This window comes from Homo sapiens, chromosome 16 (genome assembly GCF_000001405.40).
Source record: "Homo sapiens chromosome 16, GRCh38.p14 Primary Assembly".
In the NCBI taxonomy this organism is placed as follows: domain Eukaryota; kingdom Metazoa; phylum Chordata; class Mammalia; order Primates; family Hominidae; genus Homo; species Homo sapiens.
This window is the reverse complement of record NC_000016.10, coordinates 67,596,828-67,619,311: the sequence shown is the minus strand read 5'-3', so window position 1 is coordinate 67,619,311 and position 22,484 is coordinate 67,596,828. Positions and strand designations below refer to the sequence as shown.

Here is a 22,484-nt window from a genome sequence, read left to right as displayed (position 1 = left end):
GGCGCACGCCACCAGGCCTGGCTAACTTCTGTATTTTTAGTAGAGACGGGGTTTCACCACGTTGGCCCGGCTGGTCTCAAACTCTTGATCTCAGGTGACCAACCCGCCTCAGCTTCCCAAAGTGCTGGGATTACAGGCGTGAGCTACCGCGCCTGGCCCCACTCATAAGTGTTACACACCAAGTTTTCACACACATAAGTCGATAACTATCCTAACAGCGTTACTAATTCTTTTCCTTCAAGATTTCCCTATTTAACCTGTTAATTTCAATATGTACCAGAACCTACTCTGTTCCAATGAGCTATCTATTCCTACTGCAATATCACACTGGCTTCATTTACTATAGTTTTACAAAATCCAATGGCACAAGCCCCTCATTCTATTTTCAAATTTTTCTTAGCCATTCATATTTATTCTTCCAGTTGAAAGTTAGAATCAACTTGTAATGTTTCTTCATTTATTCAGGTCCTCTGGAAAAGTTACTGAGGTTTTCTTCATGTACATTTCATAGATATTTTTTGTTGTTCAGTTTATCCCTCAGTTATTTTATTGCTATTAGAATCCATTTCATACCTTCCTATCACTATTGACGTTACTGATTTCTGTATGCTTATCTTATATCCGGCCAGTGAACTGAACTCTTATTGCTCTAAGTTTTTGTTCTGATACTCTTAGATTTTCTCTGTAAGCAAATCTCTCTGCAAGAAATAACAGTTTTATCTTTCCATTAATAATTCATTTCTTGCTTTATTCGATTAGCTAGGATTTCCAGTACAAAGCTGAAACAGTAACATTAAGAATGAATATCTTGTCATATTCCAGATTTTAATGGAAATACTTTCAATGTTTCAGAATTAATTAGGATGAGTTTATTATACATTTCTGGTATATATGCTGTTTAAAATTTTTTTGAGGGGGAGTCTCACTCATCACCCAGGCTGGAGTGCAGTGGTGCGATCTTGCCTCAATGCAACCTTCACCTCCCAGGTTCAAGTGATTCTCCTGCCTCAGGCTCCCGAGTCGCTGAGACTACAGGCGCATGCTGCCATGCCCAGCTAATTTTTGTATTTTTAGTACAGATGGTGTTTCACCATGTTGGCCACACTGGTCAACTCCTGACCTCAGGTGATCTGCCCACCTCAACCTCCCAAAGTACTGGGATTACAGGCGTGAGCCACCATGCCCAGCCTAAACACATTATATTAAAGAAGTTTTCTCCTATACGTAACTTGCTAGGACATTAAACAGTAATTAATGATTACTGAATTTTAGCTCCCATCCCATCTACAGAAATAATATGGTTTTTCTTCAATCCTTCAATGTAATATACATCAGCAATTTCCCAATGATAAACAATCTTTGTGTTTCAGATATATTCAGTATCACTTATTTTTAGAACGTATTACTAAATTAGGTTGGCTCATTGGCTAATAATTTCATTTAGAATTTTTGCTTCTCTCTGAGGGTAAGTTTTCTTTTTGGTAGTTTTCTGACCCAGTTTTGGTAACAGTGTAGCTTCAAATAATAAAATTGATAAACCTACCATTTTAAAATGCTCTGGGTACAGTTTTTTCTTCAAAGTTTGACAGAATTTGCCTGTATTAACATGTGAAACTGGTACTCTTTTTTAAGACGGAGTTTCACTCTTGTTGCCCAGGCTGGACTGCAATGGCACGATCTCGGCTCACTGCAACCTCCACCTCCCGGGTTCAAGTGATTCTCCTGCCTCAGCCTCCCAAGTAGCTGGGATTACAGGCATGCACCACCACGCCCAGCTAATATTTATTTATTTATTTATTATTATTTTTTGAGATGGAGGGAGTCTCGCTCTGTCGCCCAGGCTGGAGTGCAGTGGCGTGATTTCAGCTCACTGCAAGCTCTGCCTCTGGGGTTCACGCCATTCTCCTGCCTCAGCCTCCCGAGTAGCTGGGACTATAGGTGCCTGCCACCACACCCAGCTAATTTTTTGTATTTTTAGTAGAGACAGGGTTTCACCGTTTTAGCCAGGATGGTCTCAATCTCCTGACCTTGTGATCCACCCACCTCAGCCTCCCAAACTGCTGGGATTATAGGCTGTGAGCCACCAGGCCCAGCCTAAATTTTTTATTTTTTAGTACAGATCGGGTTTCTCCATGTTGGTCAAGCTGGTCTCCAACTCCCGACCTCAGGTGATCCGCCCACCTCAGCCTCCCAAAGTGCTGGGATTATAGGCGTGAGCCACCGCACCCAGCCAGAAACTTGACTCTTTTTAACAAGTAAATCTTTCACAATCATCATAAGTTTTTTGGGGGAGCGGTGTTGTGTGGGAGTGTTAATAATTTACTAACATTTTTCTACCTCATCTTAAGTCCGTTTGGGTAGTAGTTATAGCTTTGTATTGAAATAAATCATGGTCTGCCTAAGAGAGATACCAACAAAAAGCTGAACACTCACTTCTACACTGGCGTAATCGCACATGGAACACTTGAATGGCTTCTCGTGGGTGTGTTTGTAACGACGATGCCGAACCAATTCTCCACTGGTCACAAAGGCCATGTCGCAGTCTGGGCACTTGTGAGGACGAGTACCTAGAGAAAGGATGGAGTAACAGGAAGAGCAAGATCAAGGGCACAGTTAATGACAGAGTTCAATGTGTGGCACAGAACTGCTATGAGACTGGAACCCTATTCATCCCATCAACTGCAGTAGCTTGAAAGCAGATACAAAAGTCAGCTCCGAAAACTATGGGAGGGCCTGGATGAATTTATACTAACACCAGGATATTATAACACATACCAAATTAGTTTCTCTTAATTACCCATCTGAATCCGCTGCCTTTGAATACAATAAAAACCTTCTTATTCCTATTTTGTGAATATCCTGGTCATTATGGATTAAAAGTTAATAGAGACCGGGCTTGGTGGCTCATGCCTCTAATCCCAGAACTCTGGGAGGCTAAGAGTTTGAGACCAGCCTGGGCAACATAGCAAGATCCTGTCTCTCAAATCTCGTTGTATTATGACTATAAATATAGGGCCATTGGGCTGTCCATATTCTGCAACTTTCTTTTAAAAACACAAACATATAACTTGTTTTCCACATGTATCTGTCTTGATAAGGAATTTCAGAGGCTTATCACAGGCTTTACATAGTATTTCCTTTTATGTGATTTAAACAAATGATTTTCAAACATCCATGTCTAATATGCTGTGATCATTCTGAATGTCAATTCATCCAATATAAAACATGAATAATATACTCTCTACATTTCTTGTCTTTCACTGAAGGAATCTTAGAGACAAAACTGAGAGCACAATGCAGTGCTAGTTTCACAGACTAGTGACCATCTGTAATTGTGGGCAGCAGGTAAGGGGTGACAGCAAGGTAGTATCAAACACTAAAACCAAAGGAAGGCTGCCTTTGAGGATACAATTAGGAAGAGCCACAATGTAATGAATAGAACCAGCCATCTGCAGAAATGATTCTCTTTGAGAATGAAGAGAATGCTGGAGAGGAAGAGTGACTGGAGTATAATAAAAACTAAGCAATTCCAAGGAATGTTCATTTGTTCATTCGATTCTTTAGAACCACTATGGATCTAACGGTAAAGCACAGAGTTCTTCCTGTGAAAGTGTATAGTCTGGTGGTATGGATAAGAAGTAAAACAATTAACAAGAGAAGAAAAGTGGCATCCAATTTTCTTTTCGTTTTTTGTTTTTGAGCCAGGGTCTTCCTCTGTTACCCAGTGGGAGTGCAGTGATAGGATCAAGGCTCACTGCAGCCTTGACTTCCCAGGCTCAAGTGATCCTCCTACTTCAGCCTCTCCAGTAGCTGAGACTACAGGCTTGCACCACCATGCCTGGCTAATTTTTTCTATTTTGTAGAGATGGAGTCTTGCCACGTTGCCCAGGCTTGTCTCAAACTCCTGGGCTCAAGCAATCCTCCGGCCTCGGCCTCACAAAGTCCTGAGATTACAGGTTGTGAGCCACCATGCTTGGTCTTCTTTTAGAACAAAGTAAGCTAAAAAATAAATGCTCGTGTTTACCTAGTACTATCCAGGGCAGAGAAAGGCCTGCATAAGCGTGGCAATTAGCAAAGAAGTGGACACTGCTGTGGGGCAGGGAGTTCCATTAGGCTGTGCCACATGACCACCTACATCCCTTCACTCAAGGCCCATCCTCTTTTTTTTGAGACGGAGTCTCTTGCTCTGTCGCCCAGGTTGTAGTGCAGTAGCATGATTTTGGCTCACTGCAACCTCTACCTTCCAGGTTGAAGTAATTCTCTTGCCTCAGCCTCCTGAGTAGCTGGGACTACAGGTACATGCCACCACACCTGGCTAACATTTTTTTTTTCTATTTTCAGTAGAGACGGGGTTTCACCATGTTGGCCAGGATGGTCTCGATCTCCTGCCCTTGTGATCCGCCTGCTTCAGCCTCCCGAAGTGCTGGGATTACAGGCATGGGCCACCATGCCTGGCTTTTTCTTGAGACCGAGTTTTGCTCTTGTTGCCCAGGCTGGAGTGCAATGGCACGATCTCAGCTCACCGCAACCTCCGCCTCCTGGGTTTAAGTGATTCTCCTGCCTCAGCCTCCCGAGTAGTTGGGATTACAGGCATGTGCCACCACACCCGGCTAATTTTGTATTTTTAATAGAGACAGGATTTCCCCATGTTGGTCAGGCTAGTCTTGAACTCCTGACCTCAGGTGATCTGCCCGCGTCAGCCTCCCAAAGTGCCAAAGTGCTGGGATTACAGGCGTAAGCCACCACACCCGGCCACCTGGCTAATTTTTGTATTTTTAGTGGAGATGAGGTTTCATCATGTTGGCCAGACTGGTCTCAAACCCCTGACCTCAAGTGATCCACCCGCCTCAGCCTCCCTAGGTGCAGGGATTACAGGTGTGAGCCACCATGCCCAGCCATCAAGGCTCATCCTCACCAAGTTAGCTTTCAATTGCTACAACATCTTTTTTTTTTTTTTTTTTTTTTGAGATGGAGTCTCACTCTGTCGCCCAGGCTGGAGTGCAATGGTGCGATCTCCACTCACTGCAATTTCTGCTTCCTGGATTTAAGCAATTCTCCTGCCTCAGCCTTCCGAGTAGCTGGGACTACAGGCATGCGTCACCACGCCCGGCTAATTTTTATATTTTTAGTAGAGACGAGGTTTCGTCATGTTAGCCAGGCTGGTCTTGAACTCCTGACCTCAGGTGATCCACCCACCTCGGCCTCCCAAAGTGATGGGATTACAGGCGAGAGCTACGGCGCCCGGCTGCTACAGCATCGTAACAGAGGCAAAGGCGCCCCCTAGAATGCAATGCAACTGCATCTGGAACATGAAAAGGTATACTCCTCACCATAAACTGATACTCTTGGTGTATGCATCTGCTCTTATGGGTTTTGTTGGTATGAATCAGTCTTGCCAAATCTGCTGAGTAACCAGATAGACTGTACCTCTTACTTTCAAAGCTGAAGACCAGATAGAGAATGCCCACACCAAGGCACACCCATCTTGGGAAGTCCTGTTATGGGGCCATTTATTTATTTATTTATTTATTTTGGTGAGGCAGAGTCTTGCTCTGTCACTTAGGTTGGAGTACGGTGGCACAATCTTGGCTTACTGCAACCTCTGTCTCCCGCATTCAAGTGATTCTCCTGCCTCAGCCACCCAAGTAGCTGGGTTTACAGGCGTGTGCCACTACACCCAGCTGATTTTTTGTATTTTCAGTACAGAGGCGGTTTTGCCATGTTGGCCGGGCTGGTCTAGAACTCCTGGCCTCAGGTCATCTACCCCCCATTGGATTTCCAAAGTGCTGGGATTACCCAGTTACTTTTATTTAGTCATATGCCCCATCCTAGTGTCTTCAAAGTATCAAATAAAACATATTATCAAGTGTCTGAGTAGAAATTAGGGAGATGTTTAAAAGTAAGTCACATTAGTGAAGAATGTGCCCATGTGCAGCATACTGTTTATGATTAACACCCACTTGATCATGGTCATCTGACAACCAGCACAACAAATCTAAAACAAGGGTTGTCATTAGAAATTTTTAAAAACCTAAAAATCAAAAACAAGAGTTGTCATATGAAATGAAGTTATTCTGCATGAAAAACCATGTGAGAAGACTTGCAACCAACTTCCTACACTGGGATAACAAATAGCTCAGGAAAGCTTAAAGAGAGGTTTAGTGCACAGAGTCCCTCTACTTTAGAGACCTCAGGGAACCTGGCCACAGCCAACATGAAGCTAATATCAGAATATCTGAACACTAAAGTAAGTAGGATGCTCAAATAAATGTTTGAATTATCAGAATGGTGCCTTAGCTTTTCCATTCTGAAATTATGAATTATCTTCCTTGACGTGAAACAACCAGAAACAAAAAATGTTAAGGTTTGTTTTTGAGATGGAGTCTCACTCTGTCGCCCAGGCTGGAGTGCAGTAGCACTATCTCAGCTCATTGCAGTGTCTGCCTCCCAGGTTTCAAGCGATTCTCCTGCCTGAGCCTCCTGAGTAGCTGGGATTACAGGCACCCGCCACCACACCTGGCTAATTTATGTATTTCTAGTACAGATGGATGTGATTTTGTCACGTTGGCCAGGCTGGTCTCCAACTTCTAATCTCAAGTGATCTGCCCACCTCAGCCTCCCAGAGTGTTAGGATTACAGGCGTGAGCCACTGTACCCGGCCACTTTTTTTTTTTTAAATAAAGGTAGGATTTCACTTCTATTTCTTTTCTTTTCTTTTTTTTTAGACGGAGACTCGCACTGTCGCCCAGGCTGGAGTGCAGTGGTGGGATCTCGGCTAACTGCAAGCTCCACCTCCCGGGTTCACGCCATTCTCCTGCCTCAGCCTCCCGAGTAGCTGGGACTACAGGCGCCCACCACCACACCCAGCTAATTTTTTGTATTTTTAGTAGAGACAGGGTTTCACTGGGATTTCACTTCTATTTCTAACATTCTTCCTCATAGTACCAGGCATCTATTGCCTGAGACTTCTTTTTTTTAAGAGAGAGGGTGTTATTTTTCATTAAATTTTCTTTACATTTGTCTATAATAACTAAGTCCAAGTGCTTACAATAAAATCATGATTACAAAAAGGGCATCATAAGAAATAATAAAAACTTCCTTTAAATTCCCGCTGGAGTCAGCTTGAATGAATACTAAAAAGCGAAGTCTGAGCATTTGCTGTTGTAGCCCCCAACATTCTTATCCAGCACCTGTGTGTGTGTTAAGGTGATTCCTCAGGAGGGTGACTGTTCTGAATGCCCTGCCACAGAGATGGCACTTGTGTGGTCTCTCATCAGTGTGGCTTTTCATGTGACGATCCAAATTTGAACGCCGTGGACACGTGTAACTGCAAAGCTCACACTGGAATGTCTTCTTTACACCTATGTGCAAAATAAAACACTTACTTGCTGCAGAGTTTCAAAGTGTTAAGATTAATCCTAATCTTAAATTTCTACAAATATATTTGATTAGCTTTTAATAACAAAACCCAATATAAGTCATAATTATCTCATGTCACTAATACATTTCCTTCTTCTTTGGGATTAAAAAAAGAGCATTCAATCTGGAAAAAACTTATTTTAGACTGGTTTTAAAGAACGGTACCCACATAACGACCTTTTACAAATACGGTTAATATAAAACAACTTGCATATGCACTGTGTTGTATGCTTATCCCAAAATGGTTTTATGAAACCACTATGGATAAACTCGTTTTACCTTTCTTTTTAATTTTTGTTGGCTTTGGAGGCTTCATATTACCAACCACTTTCTCTGCATTAACCTCTGATAGCAGACCCTCCTGCTGTTCTTCCTCAAAATCGTAGACAGACACATCTACATCTTTGCCCTCCTCTGTATAACGCAGTTTGCTCTTTTTGGTTTTCTTTGTTTTTTTGGCTGGTGGCTGATAGTCTGGGTCTTTTTGCCAACTAGGATCTTCCTGGGGTGGAAGTTCCCCTTGTTCTAGTGTCTCCACCTCTCCATTGGCCCCCACTTTAACCACCTGAAACCCTTCAGGCAAAGGTAGGGTGTGGCATATCATGGGTTCACTTTCCGCAAGGCCCTCTTTAGACACTTCATTTTCATAAGCCCCCTGAAGTTCTTCTACTGAAGTGGTAGCAACAGGTACAGTCACAGGAACAGGTACTTGAACAAGCTGAAGTTCTCCTATGTTTATGGGCTGTTCCTCCATATTTACAACCTGTAAAGTTATAATCTGGGTATCGTCCACAGCAGCCTCTGCTTCTGGAGCCACTGTGCCCTCCATTACTTCAGTCTTCATCTGAAGAAGGGTGGGGTCCAGCTGTTCCATCATCACCATCTGTACACTGCTGTTGACATCCTGGACCACCTCACCCCCATCCGTCTGGTTCTGGGGTAAGTGGCAGGCATCTTCTTCCTGGCCCCCTTCCCGGCGTCTCTGGTAAGTCTTTCTCTCCTTTCCTTTAATAAAAGTTTCGGACTCCTCCACAATGGCTTCGACTGCATCACCTTCCATTTCCCCTGCCTTTATTAAGGGAGAACACAGATTGTTATTTAAAGCAAAGCATGTCTAAATAAAAATATACATTTTAAAACAAAAAGACCCTTTGGTGAATGAATTAGGCATCAATGGTTGTTAATATTAAAAAAGACACAACAGACATGTGCCTCTTGATGAAAGAAACAACCACTACTGGCCAGGTGCAGTGGCTCACGCCTGTAATCCCAGCACTTTGGGAGGCTGAGGCGGGCGGATCACGAGGTCAGGAGATCGAGAACATCCTGGCTAACACGGTGAAACCCCGTCTCTACTAAAAATACAAAAAAAATTAGCCAGGCATGGTGGCGGGCGCCTGTAGTCCCAGCTACTCGGGAGGCTGAGGCAGAAGAATAGCTTGAATCCAGGAGGCGGAGCTTGCAGTGAGCCGAGATTGCACCACTGCGCTCCAGCGTGGGGGACAGAGCAAGACTCCATCTCAAAAAAAAAAAAAAAAAAAAGAAAAAGAAAAAACCACTACCTATAATGCAATTTTGTCAAACAAACTCCAAAACTCTGAAACCAATCAAGTCTCTAGATCCAACCCAATTAACAGGAAATTGGTGACTCAGGATGTTAAATTATACTACAGGGATTAAATCAGTGAAATCCATACCGAGGGAAACACTGCAAGATTATACTCAGGTTCTTCTGCAAATAGATAACAAGAAGAATACAAGGGAAGACTGATTGGAGGGAGAACCAGTAGATCAGTAGTTCTCAGCCTGGGGTGACTTTGCCTCTAGGAACATTTGGCTAACACATTTTTGGTTGTCACTACTGGGCTGGGATGTGCTACTGTTATCTCGTGGGTGAAAGCTAGAGATGCTATTAAACATCCTCCAAGACACAGGTCAGTCCTCCACCACAAAGAATTATCAGGCCAGGCCGGGCACGGTGGCTCACGCCTGTAATCCCAGCACTTTGGGAGGCTGAGGCGGGCAGATTACCGGAGGTCAGGAGATCGAGACCATCCTGGCTAACACGGTGAAACCCCGTCTCTACTAAAAAATACAAAAAAATTAGCCGGGCGTGGTGGTGGGCGCCTGTAGTCCCAGCTCTTGGGAGGCTGAGGCAGGAGAATGGCGTGAACCTGGGAGGCGGAGCTTGCAGTGAGCCAAGATCGCGCCACTGCACTCCAGCCTGGGCGACAGAGCGAGATTCCATCTCAAAAAAAAAAAAAAAAAGAATTATCAGGCCCAAGATGTCAAGAGCACTGAGGCTGAGAAACTCTGATACAGATAAAAGAGTCTTAAAGAGACAGTAATCAATCACAATGCATGAATCTTCTTTGGATCCTGATTCAAACCAATAAATGGTGAAAAAGATGTGACACAAGACAATTAGAAATTTCAACTCTGGATATCTGATGATATTAAAGAATTACTAACAAAACTAATTTAAATCTTACACATGTAGTGGGGAAGACACTGGTAAAGGACATATAATTTCAGTGGGAATAAGTTCAAGAGATCTATTATACAACATGAATATTACAGTTAATAATAACGTATACCTGAAAATAACTGAGAGCAGATTTTTAAGTGTTCTCATCACAAAAAATGACAAGGATGTGAGATGATGCATATATGAATTAGCTTAATTTTCTGCAATTATGGGGTCTTGCCACATTTCCAGACTGGCCTTGAACTCCTGGGCTGAAGCAATCCTCCCACCTAAGCCTCCCAAAGTGCTGGGATTATACATGTGACTGAGCCACTGTGCCCGGGTCTGCCAATGTTTTGTAAAAAGCTTTATTAAGGTAGCTTTATTAAGCACGTGGTGGCTCACGCCTATAATCCCAGCACTTTGGGAGGCTGAGGTGTGTGGATCACCTGAGGTCGGGAGTACGAGACCACCCTGAACAACATGGAGAAACCCCGTCCTAAGTAAAAATACAAAATTAGCCAGGTGTGATGGTGCATGCCTGTATGTAATCCTGGCTACTTGGGAGGCTGAGGCAGGAGAATCGTTTGACCCGGGAGGTGGAGGTTGCGGTGAGCCAAGATTGCGCCATTGTACTGTGCAGCCTGGGCAACAAGAACGAAACTCCGTCTCAAAAAAGAAAAAAAAAAACACTAAATACACCTCCAAAATTTCCTTGTATTTTGTTTTTGGTGATAATATTTATCATGAGATCCATCCTCAACATAATTCAAAGTGCATAATGCTATACGATTAATACAGGAACTATGTTGTGTAGCAGATCTCTAGAACTTACTCATCTTGCATAACTGAAACTTTATACCCACTCAACAGCAATTCCCCATTTTCCCCACCCTGTCAAGGGTTTTTGACCTTGTTTTTTGAAGCCAAACTCAGAACTTAGATCCAGACTGCAATGGCCGTGTTTGTAGACACTGCACAAAACTGCCCATGTCATACCATCAACTTGACATTCACCTCTCTCCTGACAATGAGATCAGGAATTCCCTGAGAATAAGAACCACATCTAACAAGTCGTTTTTTTTTTTTTAATTTTTTTTTTGAGACGGAGTCTCGCTCTGTTGCCCAGGCTAGGGTGCAGTGGCACGATCTCCGCTCACTGCAAGCTCCGCCTCCCAGGTTCACGCCATTCTCCTGCCTCAGCCTCCCGAGTAGCTGGGACTACAGGCGCCCACCACCATGCCCGGCTAATTTTTTGTATTTTTAGTAGAGACGGGGTTTCACCATGTTAGCCAGGATGGTCTCGATTTCCTGACCTCGTGATCCGCCTGCCTCGGCCTCCCAAAGTGCTGGGATTACAGGTGTGAGCCACTGCGCCCAACCGGTTTTTACTTTTTTTTTTTTTTTGAGTCGGAGTCTCGCACTGTCGCCCAGGCTGGAGTGCAATGGCGTGATCTTGGCTCACTGCAACCTCTGCCTCCCAGGTTTAAGTGATTCTCCTGCTTCAGCCTCCGGAGTAGTTGGGATTACAGGTGCCCACCACCACACCTGGCTAATTTTCTGTATTTTTAGCAGATACGGGGTTTCACTATGTTGGCCAGGCTGGTCTTGAACTTCTGACCTCGTGATCTGTCCGCCTCGGCCTCCCAAAGTGCTGGGACTACAGGCGTGAGCCACCACGCCCAGCCACGGTTTTTACTCTTTAGCACTGTGCCCAGGATGGTAAGTACTCAATAAATGCCAACCAAATTGAATATATAATAGAAAGCAGAAAACAAATCAGCCAATTCATAGTTTTTGGCTCTTATATCTTGTGAATGGGCCGGGCACGGTAGCTCACGCCTGTAATCCCAGCACTTTGGGAGGCCAAGGCTGGTGGATCAGTTGAGGCCAGGAGTTCAAGACCAGCCTGGCTAACATGGCAAAACCCCATCTCTACTAAAAATACAAAAATTAGCCAGGCGTAGTGGTGTGCACCTGTAATCCCAGCTACTTGGGAGGCTGAGGCACGAAAAGAACTTGAACCCTGGAGGTGGAGGTTGCAGCGAGCTGAGAAAGTGCCCCTGCATTCCAGCCTGGGCGACAGAGTGAGACTCGGTCTCAAAAACAAAAAATAAAAAACAAACAAAAATCTTGTGAATGACATTACCTAAACAAGAGTAAAATAGGGGCCAGGCGTGGTGGCTCAGGCCTGTAATCCCAGCATTTTGGGAGGCCGAGGCGGGCAGATCACTTGAAGTCAGGAGATGGAGACAAGCCTGGCCAACACGGCAAAACCCCGTTTCTATTAAAAATACAAAAATTAGCCAGGTGTGGTGGCACATGCCTGTAATCCCAGCTACTCAGGAGGCCGAGGCAGAAGAATTGCTTGAACCTGGGAGGTGGAGGTTGCAGTGAGCTGAGATTGGGCCACTGTACTCCCTCCAGCCAGGGCAACAGAGCGAGCCTCTGTCTCAAAAAAATAATAATAATTAAAATAAAATAAAACATATATAGCTGAGTGTGGTGGGGTGTGCCTCTAATCCCAGCTACTTGGAAGGCTGAGTGAGGCTCGAGAATTGCTTGAAGCCTGGAGGCGGAGATTGCAGTGAGCCGAGTGCCACTGCACTCCAGCCTGGAGCCTGGGCGATAAGAGTGAAACTATGTCTCAAAAAAAAAAAAAAAAAAAACCCAAAACAAAACATTGAAGTGTTTTGTATTTTTGGCCAAGAATACAGCTCAAACGAAGCTTTTGTTAGTTCTATTAGACACACTTTTCTCCAATTCTCTGTCTAGGCACCTTAACATTGTATTATATCCATGATAGCAGTCAGAGAAGACTCCTTAAGCCAGGACCACCTGAGAGGCAGCACAAGAACTACTACAGAGAGAATGACATTACCTAAACAAGAGCAAAATAGGGGCCGGGCGTGGTGGCTCACGCCTGTAATCCCAGCATTTTGGGAGGCCTGGTCCTACATTCTAGGAGTTACTGTCTAACATAAAGGACAAAATAGGTAGCACAATGGTTCAAGGTGAAATTACATAGGTTTGGAGAAAGATAACATAACCAGGTGTGATAGAAAAATGCTTCATAAATGTGGAATTTGAACGGAACCCTGAAACGTGAGCAGGACATTTAAAGGCAGAGTTTGACAGTGGAGGGCAGAGGATGTATTCTGTAGGGGAAAGGTTTGGATTTCTGGGTACAATAAATACATGTGGGAATTAGTTATGAGTAAGAAAAAGAACTGGCTTAAAGCACAGGACAGAGGAGAGGGTAGTAAGACAGGTGAAAGATGTGCTGGTTGCCCCCCATAGTTTGGATGGTCTTGAATAACAAAATACCTCAGATGACTGGCAATGGAAAACCACTTATGCTTTCTGGGCAGAGAAGTAAAGATTCACTCATTTCACAAAGAAGAAGACTTAATTTCCTCAAAAAGTGTGTCTCTACTTTTGCAAAAACTACATGATGCACTTACCACCCTTCTGGCTCACAAAGCCCCTTCGTACCTGACCCCATGATAACCTATTCAGATTTATGTCTTGCCCTCTAGCACTCTCCCCTTCAGTCAAGCTGTCTTTTCATCCAGACACAGTTCCTACTGTCATCTCCCTGTCTTCACTCTGTACTTTACGTCTGATCCACTCCTCTCAACACCAGCTCATCCCTGGCACAACAAAGCTTTCTGAGGTTCTTGTGGCCACTACTTTGCTCCAAATGTGTTTCTGATAAAATAAGGACACAGTTTAGCACTTAAAATTTTCTCAAAACGATCTATTTTCCCAGTTGGGTGTGAAAGCTCTTTAAGGGCAAAAGCCGGGCTTGAAGCAACATATACTTTTGGACAGATTCAGCAAACCCCACCATCTGCCTGGAAAAAAACAAGGCTCAAGGTAAACTCCCGAGGTTGTTGGATTGCCAGTTTGGTTTATTCTTCCATTACCTTCTTTCTTTCATTAGTCCCTTGTTCTCAACAACCAAGAGAAAAATACAACAACATCCAATGCAAAGGCTTCTTACTATGCTGTTCCATGACAGTGGGGACAAATATAAAAAAATGTTACCGCAGAAGGTGGGGATCAAAGAACATTTGTAGAATGCTTTATAATTCACCTATAAATTAAAAATGAGCAAAGTGCTAGTATTTTTATTATAAGATGTCATTTAGGCCAAGCGTGGTGGCTCACGCCTGTAATCCCAGCACTTTGGGAGGCGAAGGCGGGTGGATCATGAGGTCAGGAGACCGAGACCATCCTGGCTAACACGGTGAAACACCATCTCTACTAAAAAATACAAAAAATTAGCCAGGAGTGGTGGCGGGTGCCTGTAGTCCCAGCTACTCGGGAGGCTGAGGCAGGAGAATGGCGTGAACCCGGAAGGCGAAGCTTGCCATGAGCCGAGATTGCGCCACTGCACTCCAGCCTGGGAGACAGAGCGAGACTGTCTCAAAAAAAAAAAAAAAAAAAAAAAAAAAATCCCATTTATACCTCTGATTGTAAAAGACTAAGCATAATCCTAACTATAATTAATTTTATATACTCAGTACTGTTCAGACAGATTATCTTTAGAATATAAATTCTCTAGGCTGGCACTGTTCAATAGAAATATAATGCAAGCCACAAACATAAGCCACATTATATGTAATTTTAAGTAAAAAAAATTCATATTAAAAAGTAAAAAAAAAAAACAAAAAACAAAAAAAAAAAAAACCCTGGTGAAATTAATTTTAGTAATCTATTTTACTTAACCTGGTATGTCCAAAATATCATTTCAAGGTTTCATCAATTTAAAAAATTGTTGGCCGGGTATGGTGGCTCATGTCTGTAATCCCAACACTTTGGGAGGCCAAGGCAGGTGGATCATGAGGTCAGGAGATACAGACCATCCTGGCTAACATGGCGAAATCCTGTCTCTACTAAAAATACAAAAATTAGCCGGGCGTGGTGGCGGATGCCTATAGTCCCAGCTACTTGGGAGGCTGAGGCAGGAGAATGGTGTGAACCTGGGAGGTGGAGCTTGCAATGAGCCAAGATCGCGCCACTGCACTCCAGCCTGGCAACAGAGCGAGACTCTGTCTCAAAAACAAACAAACAAAACAAAAACAAAACTAACAAAAAAAATTGTTATGCTTGAGACACAGACTTGCTCTGTTGCCCAGACTGGAGTGCAGTGGTAGGATCACAGCTCACTGTAACCTCCAACTCCTGGGCTCCAGTGATCCTCCTGCCTCAGTCTGCCAAGTAGCTAGGACTACAGTTTATGCCACCATGCTCAATTAATTTTCTTTTCTTTTCTTTTTTTTTTTTTTTTTGAGACGGGGTTTCCTCTGTTGCCCAGGCTGGAGTGCAGCAGAATGGTCATGGCTCATTGCAGCCTTGACTTCCTGGGCTCAGGTGATTCTCCCACCTCAGCCTCCCGAGTAGCTGGGACTACAGGTTCATACCAGGCACCAGGCTAATTTTTTTGTATTTTTAGTAAAAGTGGGGTTTCACCATGTTGCACAGACTGGTCTCGAACTCCTGGGCTCAAGTCATCTGCCCGCCTCAGCCTCCCAAATTGCTAGGATTACAGGCATAAACCACCGTGCCTGGCCTCTAATTTTTTTTTTTTTTTTTGAGACAGAGTCTTGCACTGTTGCCCAGGCTGAAGTGCAGTGGCGCGATCTCAGCTCACTGCAAGCTCCACCTACTGGGTTAACGCCATTCTCCTGCCTCAGCCTCCCAAGTAGCTGGGACTACAGGCTCCTGTCACCACGCCCGGCTAATTTTTTGTACTTTTAGTAGAGACGGGGTTTCACCGTGTTAGCCAGGATGGTCTCTTATCTCCTGACCTCCTGATCCGCCCGCCTTGGCCTCCCAAAGTACCAGGATTACAGGTGTGAGCCACCACACCCAGCCTTTTTTTTTTGAGAGGGAGTCTCCCTCTGTCGCCCAGGCTGGAGTGCAGGGACTTGATCTCGGCTCACTGCAAGCTCCGCCTCCCGGGTTCATGCCATTCTCCCACCTCAGCCTCCTGAGTAGCTGGGACTACAGGCACCCACCAGCACTCCCAGCTAATTTTGTTTTTGTATTTTTAGTAGGGACGGGGTTTCACCATGTTAGGCAGGATGGTCTCGATCTCCTGACCTCGTGATCCCCCACCTCAGCCTCCCAAAGTGCTGGGATTACAGGTGTGAGCCACTGCGCCCGGCCTAATGTTTTCTTTTTTTGTAATTTTTTTTTTGTAGAGGTGTGTTGCCCAGGCTGGTCTTGAACTCCCAGCCTCAAGTTATTGTCCCATCTTAGACTACCAAAGTGCTGTGATTACAGGTATGTGCCGTCGTGCCCAGCTATATCTTACATTTACAGCATACCTTAATTTGAACCAGTGAAACTCTAAATTCTCAACAGCAACATGAGGCTAGGGGCTTCCGTACCGGACAGCACAACTTTGTACTTGTTATTCAAAGTATGGTCTGAGGACCAGCAGCACTGGCTTCTTAAAAACACAGAACTTCAGGTCCCACCCTTGACCCACAGAATTAGATTTTGCAATTTAACTTTATACTATTACTGTTTCCCCATTAAGATTTTCTTCTCTTTTTTTTTTTTTTTTTTTGGAGATGGAGTTTCACTCTTGTTGCCTAGGCTGGAGTGCAATGGCGCAATCTCGGCTGAACACAACCTCCGACTCCTGGGTTCAAGCGATTCTCCTGCCTCAGCCTCCCGAGTAGCTGGGATTACAGGCATGCGCCACCACACCTGGCTAATTTTATATTTTTAGGAGAGACAGGGTTTCTCCATGTTGGTCAGGCTGGTCTTGAACTCCTGACCTCAGGTAATCTGCCGGCCTCGGCCTCCCAAAGTGCTGGGATTAAAGACATGAACCACCGTGCCCAGCCCCCAGAAAAAAACTTTTTAAGAGAAGTTTTTCAGTCCCTGAAAAGCCCCAAAAGTTAGTATCCCTGCAAAGGGAATGATAATCCAGATGTCTGGAGCTAGGGAACATACAAAAAGCCCAATTTACTTCAGAGTGACATTCTCAGAAAAGGTATCAAAGAACAAAAAATTGAGATGCTGTGAATGTAAATGTGGTGACCCTGCCAGAGTCACTACATAATCCCAGACTATTTAAATATCCTCAATAATAAAATTGGTAGAGGAAAAACAATCTTTGGGGTCTCCAGGATTTTGTAGCATATAATTTGATGCTACAACTTGAAGACAACGGAAAAAAATTCTATCTGGTCTCTGGTGTGAATTTGAAAACTTAAAATGTTAAAAATTGCTTGTAAACAGGCTGGGCTGAGTGGCTCACGCCTGTAATCCCAGCACTTTGGGAGGCCGAGGCAGGCGGATCACCTGAGGTCAGGAGTTCACGACCAGCCTGACCTACATGGTGAAACCCCATCTCTACTAAAAATACGAAAATTAGCCAGTTGTGGTGGCAGGTGCCTATAGTCCCAGCTATTTGGGAGGCTGAGGCAGGAGAATCGCGTGAACCCTGGAGGCGGAGGCTGCAGTGAGCCAAGATTGGGCCACTGCACTCCAGCCTGGGTGACAGAGGGAGACTCCATCTCAAAAAAAAAAAAAAAAATTGCTTGTAAACAACCGAGTCCAACCTAAAAGAGGTCACAGAATTATAAACCAGGTAGAAAAAGAAGTGGTACAAAAGAGTACAAATAGAAACCAACTGTGCTTCCAAGAAGTTGAGCTGACAGAGTACTGTCTCACTGAAAAAAAACACATGGCATAAAGTCCACAAAACAACAGCATCTACTCGGTCTTAAAGCAATAGCTTCTATTTTTAATAGAGAAAAATCAGACACAAAGTAGCAAGCCATCAGCCTCTCAATACACTGCTCAGAATCTCAGAGCATCCCCGAGGTCAGGAGATCGAGACCATCCTGGCTAACATGGTGAAACCCCATCTCGACTAGAAATACAAAAACAAAATTAGCTGGGCGTGGTGGCAGGCGCCTGTAGTCCCAGCTACTGGGAAGGCTGAGGTGGGAGAATGGCATGAACCCGAGAGGTGGAGCTTGCAGTGAGCCGAGATCACGCCACTGCACTCCAGGCTGGGTGACAGAGTGAGACTCCGTCTTAAAAAAAAACAAAACAAAACACACACACACACACACACACACACACACACACACACACACACGGTGACAGAGTGAGACTCTGTCTTAAAAAACAAAACAAAACACACACACACACACACACACACACACACACACACACCCCTTAGTGCATTCCATCAAGCAGTGGATCTCTCCTTTTACTTTCTTTCCAGACGATGGGAGTCTCTCCTCTGAATCAATAAGTAACCAATAGGCTGGACCAGGTCATTCTCCCCACTCCCTGGGGACTGCGCTTCTAGCTGCCTCTCCCGACACTAGCAGCTCCAATCCATCTCCTTTCTTTACTGCTTTCAAATACTCAGTTCCTCTTAGTACAAAACATACCCACTCACTCTAATTCCTACATATTTTTTGGCTCTATGCTTGCTTGAGTCGCCCATGCCTTCTAGGTTTCATCAAATATTTTTTGTGGACCAATATCGCCACCAAAATGAAGTTTATATCACTCAAAGCGGTTTTAATTTACTTACAGGACACATTTTTTTTCCTCCAGATTACGAAAATCACCTAATATTCTGATGCTGTTTTCTCAGCTATTCAGTTAAAGGTATATATTTTGTATATATATGAAATCATACTATATATGGAATTTATATACACTTCTATATATGGCTTTGCTCTATCTCAAAAAATCTGTCCTTATGACTAGGTGTGATGGCTCAAGCCTGTAATCCCAGCACTTTGGGAGGCTGAAGTAGATCACTTGAGCCCAAGAGTTCAAGCCCAGCACAGGCAACATGGGGAGACCCCATCTCTAAAAACAAATTTTAAAAAACACACATTAGCCAGGCTAGGCATGGTGGCTCACACCTGTAATCCCAGGACTTTGGGAGGCTGAGGTGGGCAGATCCCTTGAGTCCAGGAGTTCGAGACCAGCTTGGGCAACATGGTGAAACACCATCTCTACAAAATATAGCCAGGCATGGTGGTGCATGCCTGTAACCCCAGCTACTTGGGAGGCTGAGGCAGGAGGATCATTTGAGCCTAGGACACAGAGGTTACAGTGAGCTGAGATTACACCATTGAACTCCAACCTGGGCAACAGAGTGAGACTCTGTTCCTCAAAAATAAAAAAAATAAAAAAAATAATAAATTTAAATATCTGTCCTTACTAAAAAGGACTCAACTCCCTCCTTAGCCCTCTGCGGCCCCTTTGTTTGGCCCACAGGTACCATCCATCAAGAACCACCAGAGTCAACCCAAGGGCCTTTCCCTCTTTCTAAATCTCAGTTTCTCTGGCATCTGACAAGATGAAACTCATCCTATTCCTTCATAAGCCTCTTTCCTCCCTTAGCTCCCTTCGTCTCTGAGTACTCTTTCACCAGCCCCCCTGAGCACACCAAGGCTCCGTAGCCGCCCATTACACTAGCCTTTTAACTTCCACTGTTTCTACACAGAGGTCTTTCCAATCCATATCTGCAATCCCAGTTTCACTGCCTAAAGGATCTACTAATGTTTGGCTGTCACCTTCAACTCAATGACACTGGACAGGGAATAAACAGAAACTCCAGTATACCCAATCCATCACTAACCAACTAAATGAGCTTGGCAAAGTGGGTGGTTTAGTCGTCCGGACTGTGGTATCACCATAAAATGGAGCTCCTAAGACCAGATCCTTATTGTGTTTCTCTATCATCTAGGTGAAAAAGTGAAGCTTAGATAAAAAAATTTTATTATTCAGTCAACTTCTGTGTAGATGATGAACAGGAGGTTCCTCCAGACTGAGGAAGAACAATCCAGGCAATCGGGGATGAGGGGCTAAAAGGAAGGAAAACTGGCATCTTAATGCTTCTCTGCCCCTGCTGAATGGTGAGTGTGAGGATGCAAGGGCCTAGGCTCCAACACAGAGACCCCAGAGGCCTGTATCCTTAGGGGGCATGGATCAGTTCTTCCTCCTCTTGCTTCAGCCACTTATTTTTCTTTGAGACAGATTCTCGTTCTGTTGCCCAGGCTGGAGCGCAGTGGCACGACCTCGGCTCACTGCAACCTCTGCCTCCCAGGTTCAAGTGATTCTCTTGCCTCAGCCTCCTGAGCAGCTGGGACTACCAGCGCGTGCCACCAGGCCCAACTAGTTTTTGTATTTTTACTAGAGACGAGGTTTCACCACGTTGGCCAGGATGGTCTCGATCTCCTGACCTCGTGATCCACCAGCCTCGGCCTCCCAAAGTGCTGGGATTACAGGCGTGAGCCACCACATTCGGCCGCTTCAGCCACCGCACCCGGCCACTTCAGCCACTTCTTAGCTAGCTCTATGTTGCTTAAATCTTGCCCATTTATAACTCCCCTCAACCCCAATGCACGATTTAGTATCTGTCATCTCTTTTTTCCTACCACGCTCAACTTAACACTTGCTGTCTCTAATTCTTTCCTTACTTTCCACTCACCAGTTTGGTTTCTGATCCCCAATACTTTACGGAGCTGCTCTGAGGCCAGCAATGGCCTTTAATTGGTAAATCCACCGAGGCTTTTCTGTCCTCATCTGACTTGACCTCTCTGTGGAATTCAGCATTCTAGTCTAGGCTTTATCCCAGAATTATGCCAGACCATCAGAAAGCTGGGTATACTTGGGCCACACGGCCTTATCCCCTACAGAATTGCTTTTATCGAGTTTCACTTTGGCATCATGCCTTAGCTTACACTAAAAGATATGTGGGAGAAATTGCACTGGGAGTTAAATACTTGGAAAAGCTTTTCTTCAAGGAAATTTTTTTCTTTCATTGTGAAACCTATGTAACAGGATCATGTTGCCATTTTTTTAGCTGGCTACAGCTTGATTAATTTGTTGCCTCTCAAACCATGTAATAATAACTTTCTATTATAATTTGTATTTTCTGGTTTATTTATATCACTTATTATCTGTCTTTCCTAAATATTTCTTCAAGTTCTTTCTGGAACAAGATGGGCTATAAACTTGAAAGTGTATATACAATCTATTAAATAAATATAGGAAAATATACATAAACATAAAAAGATACAAGAAAAAGAATAACGTGAACTGAAAATGTGCAGGGTCTATTTGAAGATTATAAAACTCTTCCACTGGCCAGGTGCAGTGACTCACACCTGACTGCTAGGACTTTGGGAGGCTGAGGAGAGTGGATTGCTTGAGCACAGGAGTCTGAGACCAGGCCTGGGCAACACAGTAGGACACCATCTCTACAAAAACTTTAAAAAATTAGTCAGGTGTGATGGTGTATGCCTGTAGTCCCAGCTACCTGGAGGCTAAGCTGGGAGGATCGCCTGAGCCCAGGAGGTTAAGGCTATAGTGAGTAGTGATCATGCCTCTGCACTCTGGCCTGGGCAATAAAGTGAGACATGGTCTAAAAAAAAACTAAGAAAAACAAAACCAAAAAGAAAACAACCCTTCCCCTCCAGCCCCAAACTCCTCCAGGAGGCATTTAAAAAACCTCACTAAGTAGCGACACTATTATCTATATCCATAAAGCTACATAATTCATATAATGTGGTACTGTTACTACTATAGGCAGACAATTTAAACAGAAGAGAGAATCCAGAAACAAAGCCTAGCAAATAAAAAGCTGTCATTTTAAATCAGTAGGGAAAAGAGAATTACTGCATAAAAGGTACCAGAAAAACAGTTAACTATGTAGGAAAAAAACAGAAGTTATCTTTAATCCATTTGGAATGTATCTGTTGTATGAAACAAAGAAGCATTGGCAGGGCCAAGTGTGGTGGCTCACGCCTGTAATCTCAGCACTTCGGGAGGCCAAGGCGGGTGGATAATAAGGTCAGGAGTTCAAGACCAGCCTGGCCAACATGGTGAAACCCCGTCTCCACTAAAAATACAGAAATTAACTGTGCTTAGTGGCGGGCACCTGTAATCCCAACTACTCGGGAGGCTGAGGCAGACAACTGCTTGAACCCAGGAGGTGGAGGTTGTAGTGCGTCAAGATCACGCCACTGCACTTCAGCCTGGGCAACAGAGCGAGACTCTGTATCAAAATAAAAAAAAAAAGCATTAGTGGCCAGGTACAGAGACTTACGCCTGTAATTCAAACACTGAGAGGCCAAGGCCAGCAGATCGCTTGAGCCCAGGAGTTCGAGATTGGCTTGGGAAACATGGAGATACTCCATCAATACTAAAAATACAAAAAGTCAGCTGGGCATGGTGGTGTGCGCCTGGGGTCTCAGCTATTCAGGAGGCTGAGGTGGGAGGATCTCCTGAACCTGGGGAGGTTGAGGCTGCAGTGAGCCATGATTGTGCCATTGTACTCCAGCCTGGGCGGCAGAGTGAGACCCTGTCTCAAAATGAAACAAAACAAACAAAAACACACACAAAACTTTAAAAAGAAAAAGGTGAACAGCTTTCTAAAAATGAGGAAGGCTTTGTGCTTAGAAGCCTAAGTAATAAGAGAAATCAGAGGAAATGATTGAGATTTTAAGCACCATAAAATAAAATTAAAAATTCCAGGCTGGGCACAGTGGCTCACACCTGTAATCCCAGCACTTTGGGAGGCCAAGGTGGGTGG

The 22,484-nt window shown here is 44.3% G+C and overlaps 1 protein-coding gene across 5 annotated transcripts in view; it reads right to left on the bottom strand.

Moving 5' to 3' along the window:
• Window positions 1-22,484, bottom strand: part of CTCF (CCCTC-binding factor) — a 76,652-nt gene that overhangs the window by 19,866 nt on the left and 34,302 nt on the right. For 4 of the 5 annotated variants that reach the window (NM_006565.4, NM_001438969.1, NM_001438968.1 and 1 more), the window contains exons 3-5: window positions 7,699-8,488; window positions 7,191-7,361; window positions 2,434-2,567 (exon numbers count right to left, since the gene is read on the bottom strand). In NM_006565.4, coding sequence (NP_006556.1) covers window positions 2,434-2,567; window positions 7,191-7,361; window positions 7,699-8,479 — 1,086 coding nt within the window. In that variant the 5' untranslated portion in view covers window positions 8,480-8,488. The remainder of the gene's footprint in view (window positions 1-2,433; window positions 2,568-7,190; window positions 7,362-7,698; window positions 8,489-22,484) is intronic. The other variant, NM_001191022.2, reaches the window with a different exon arrangement.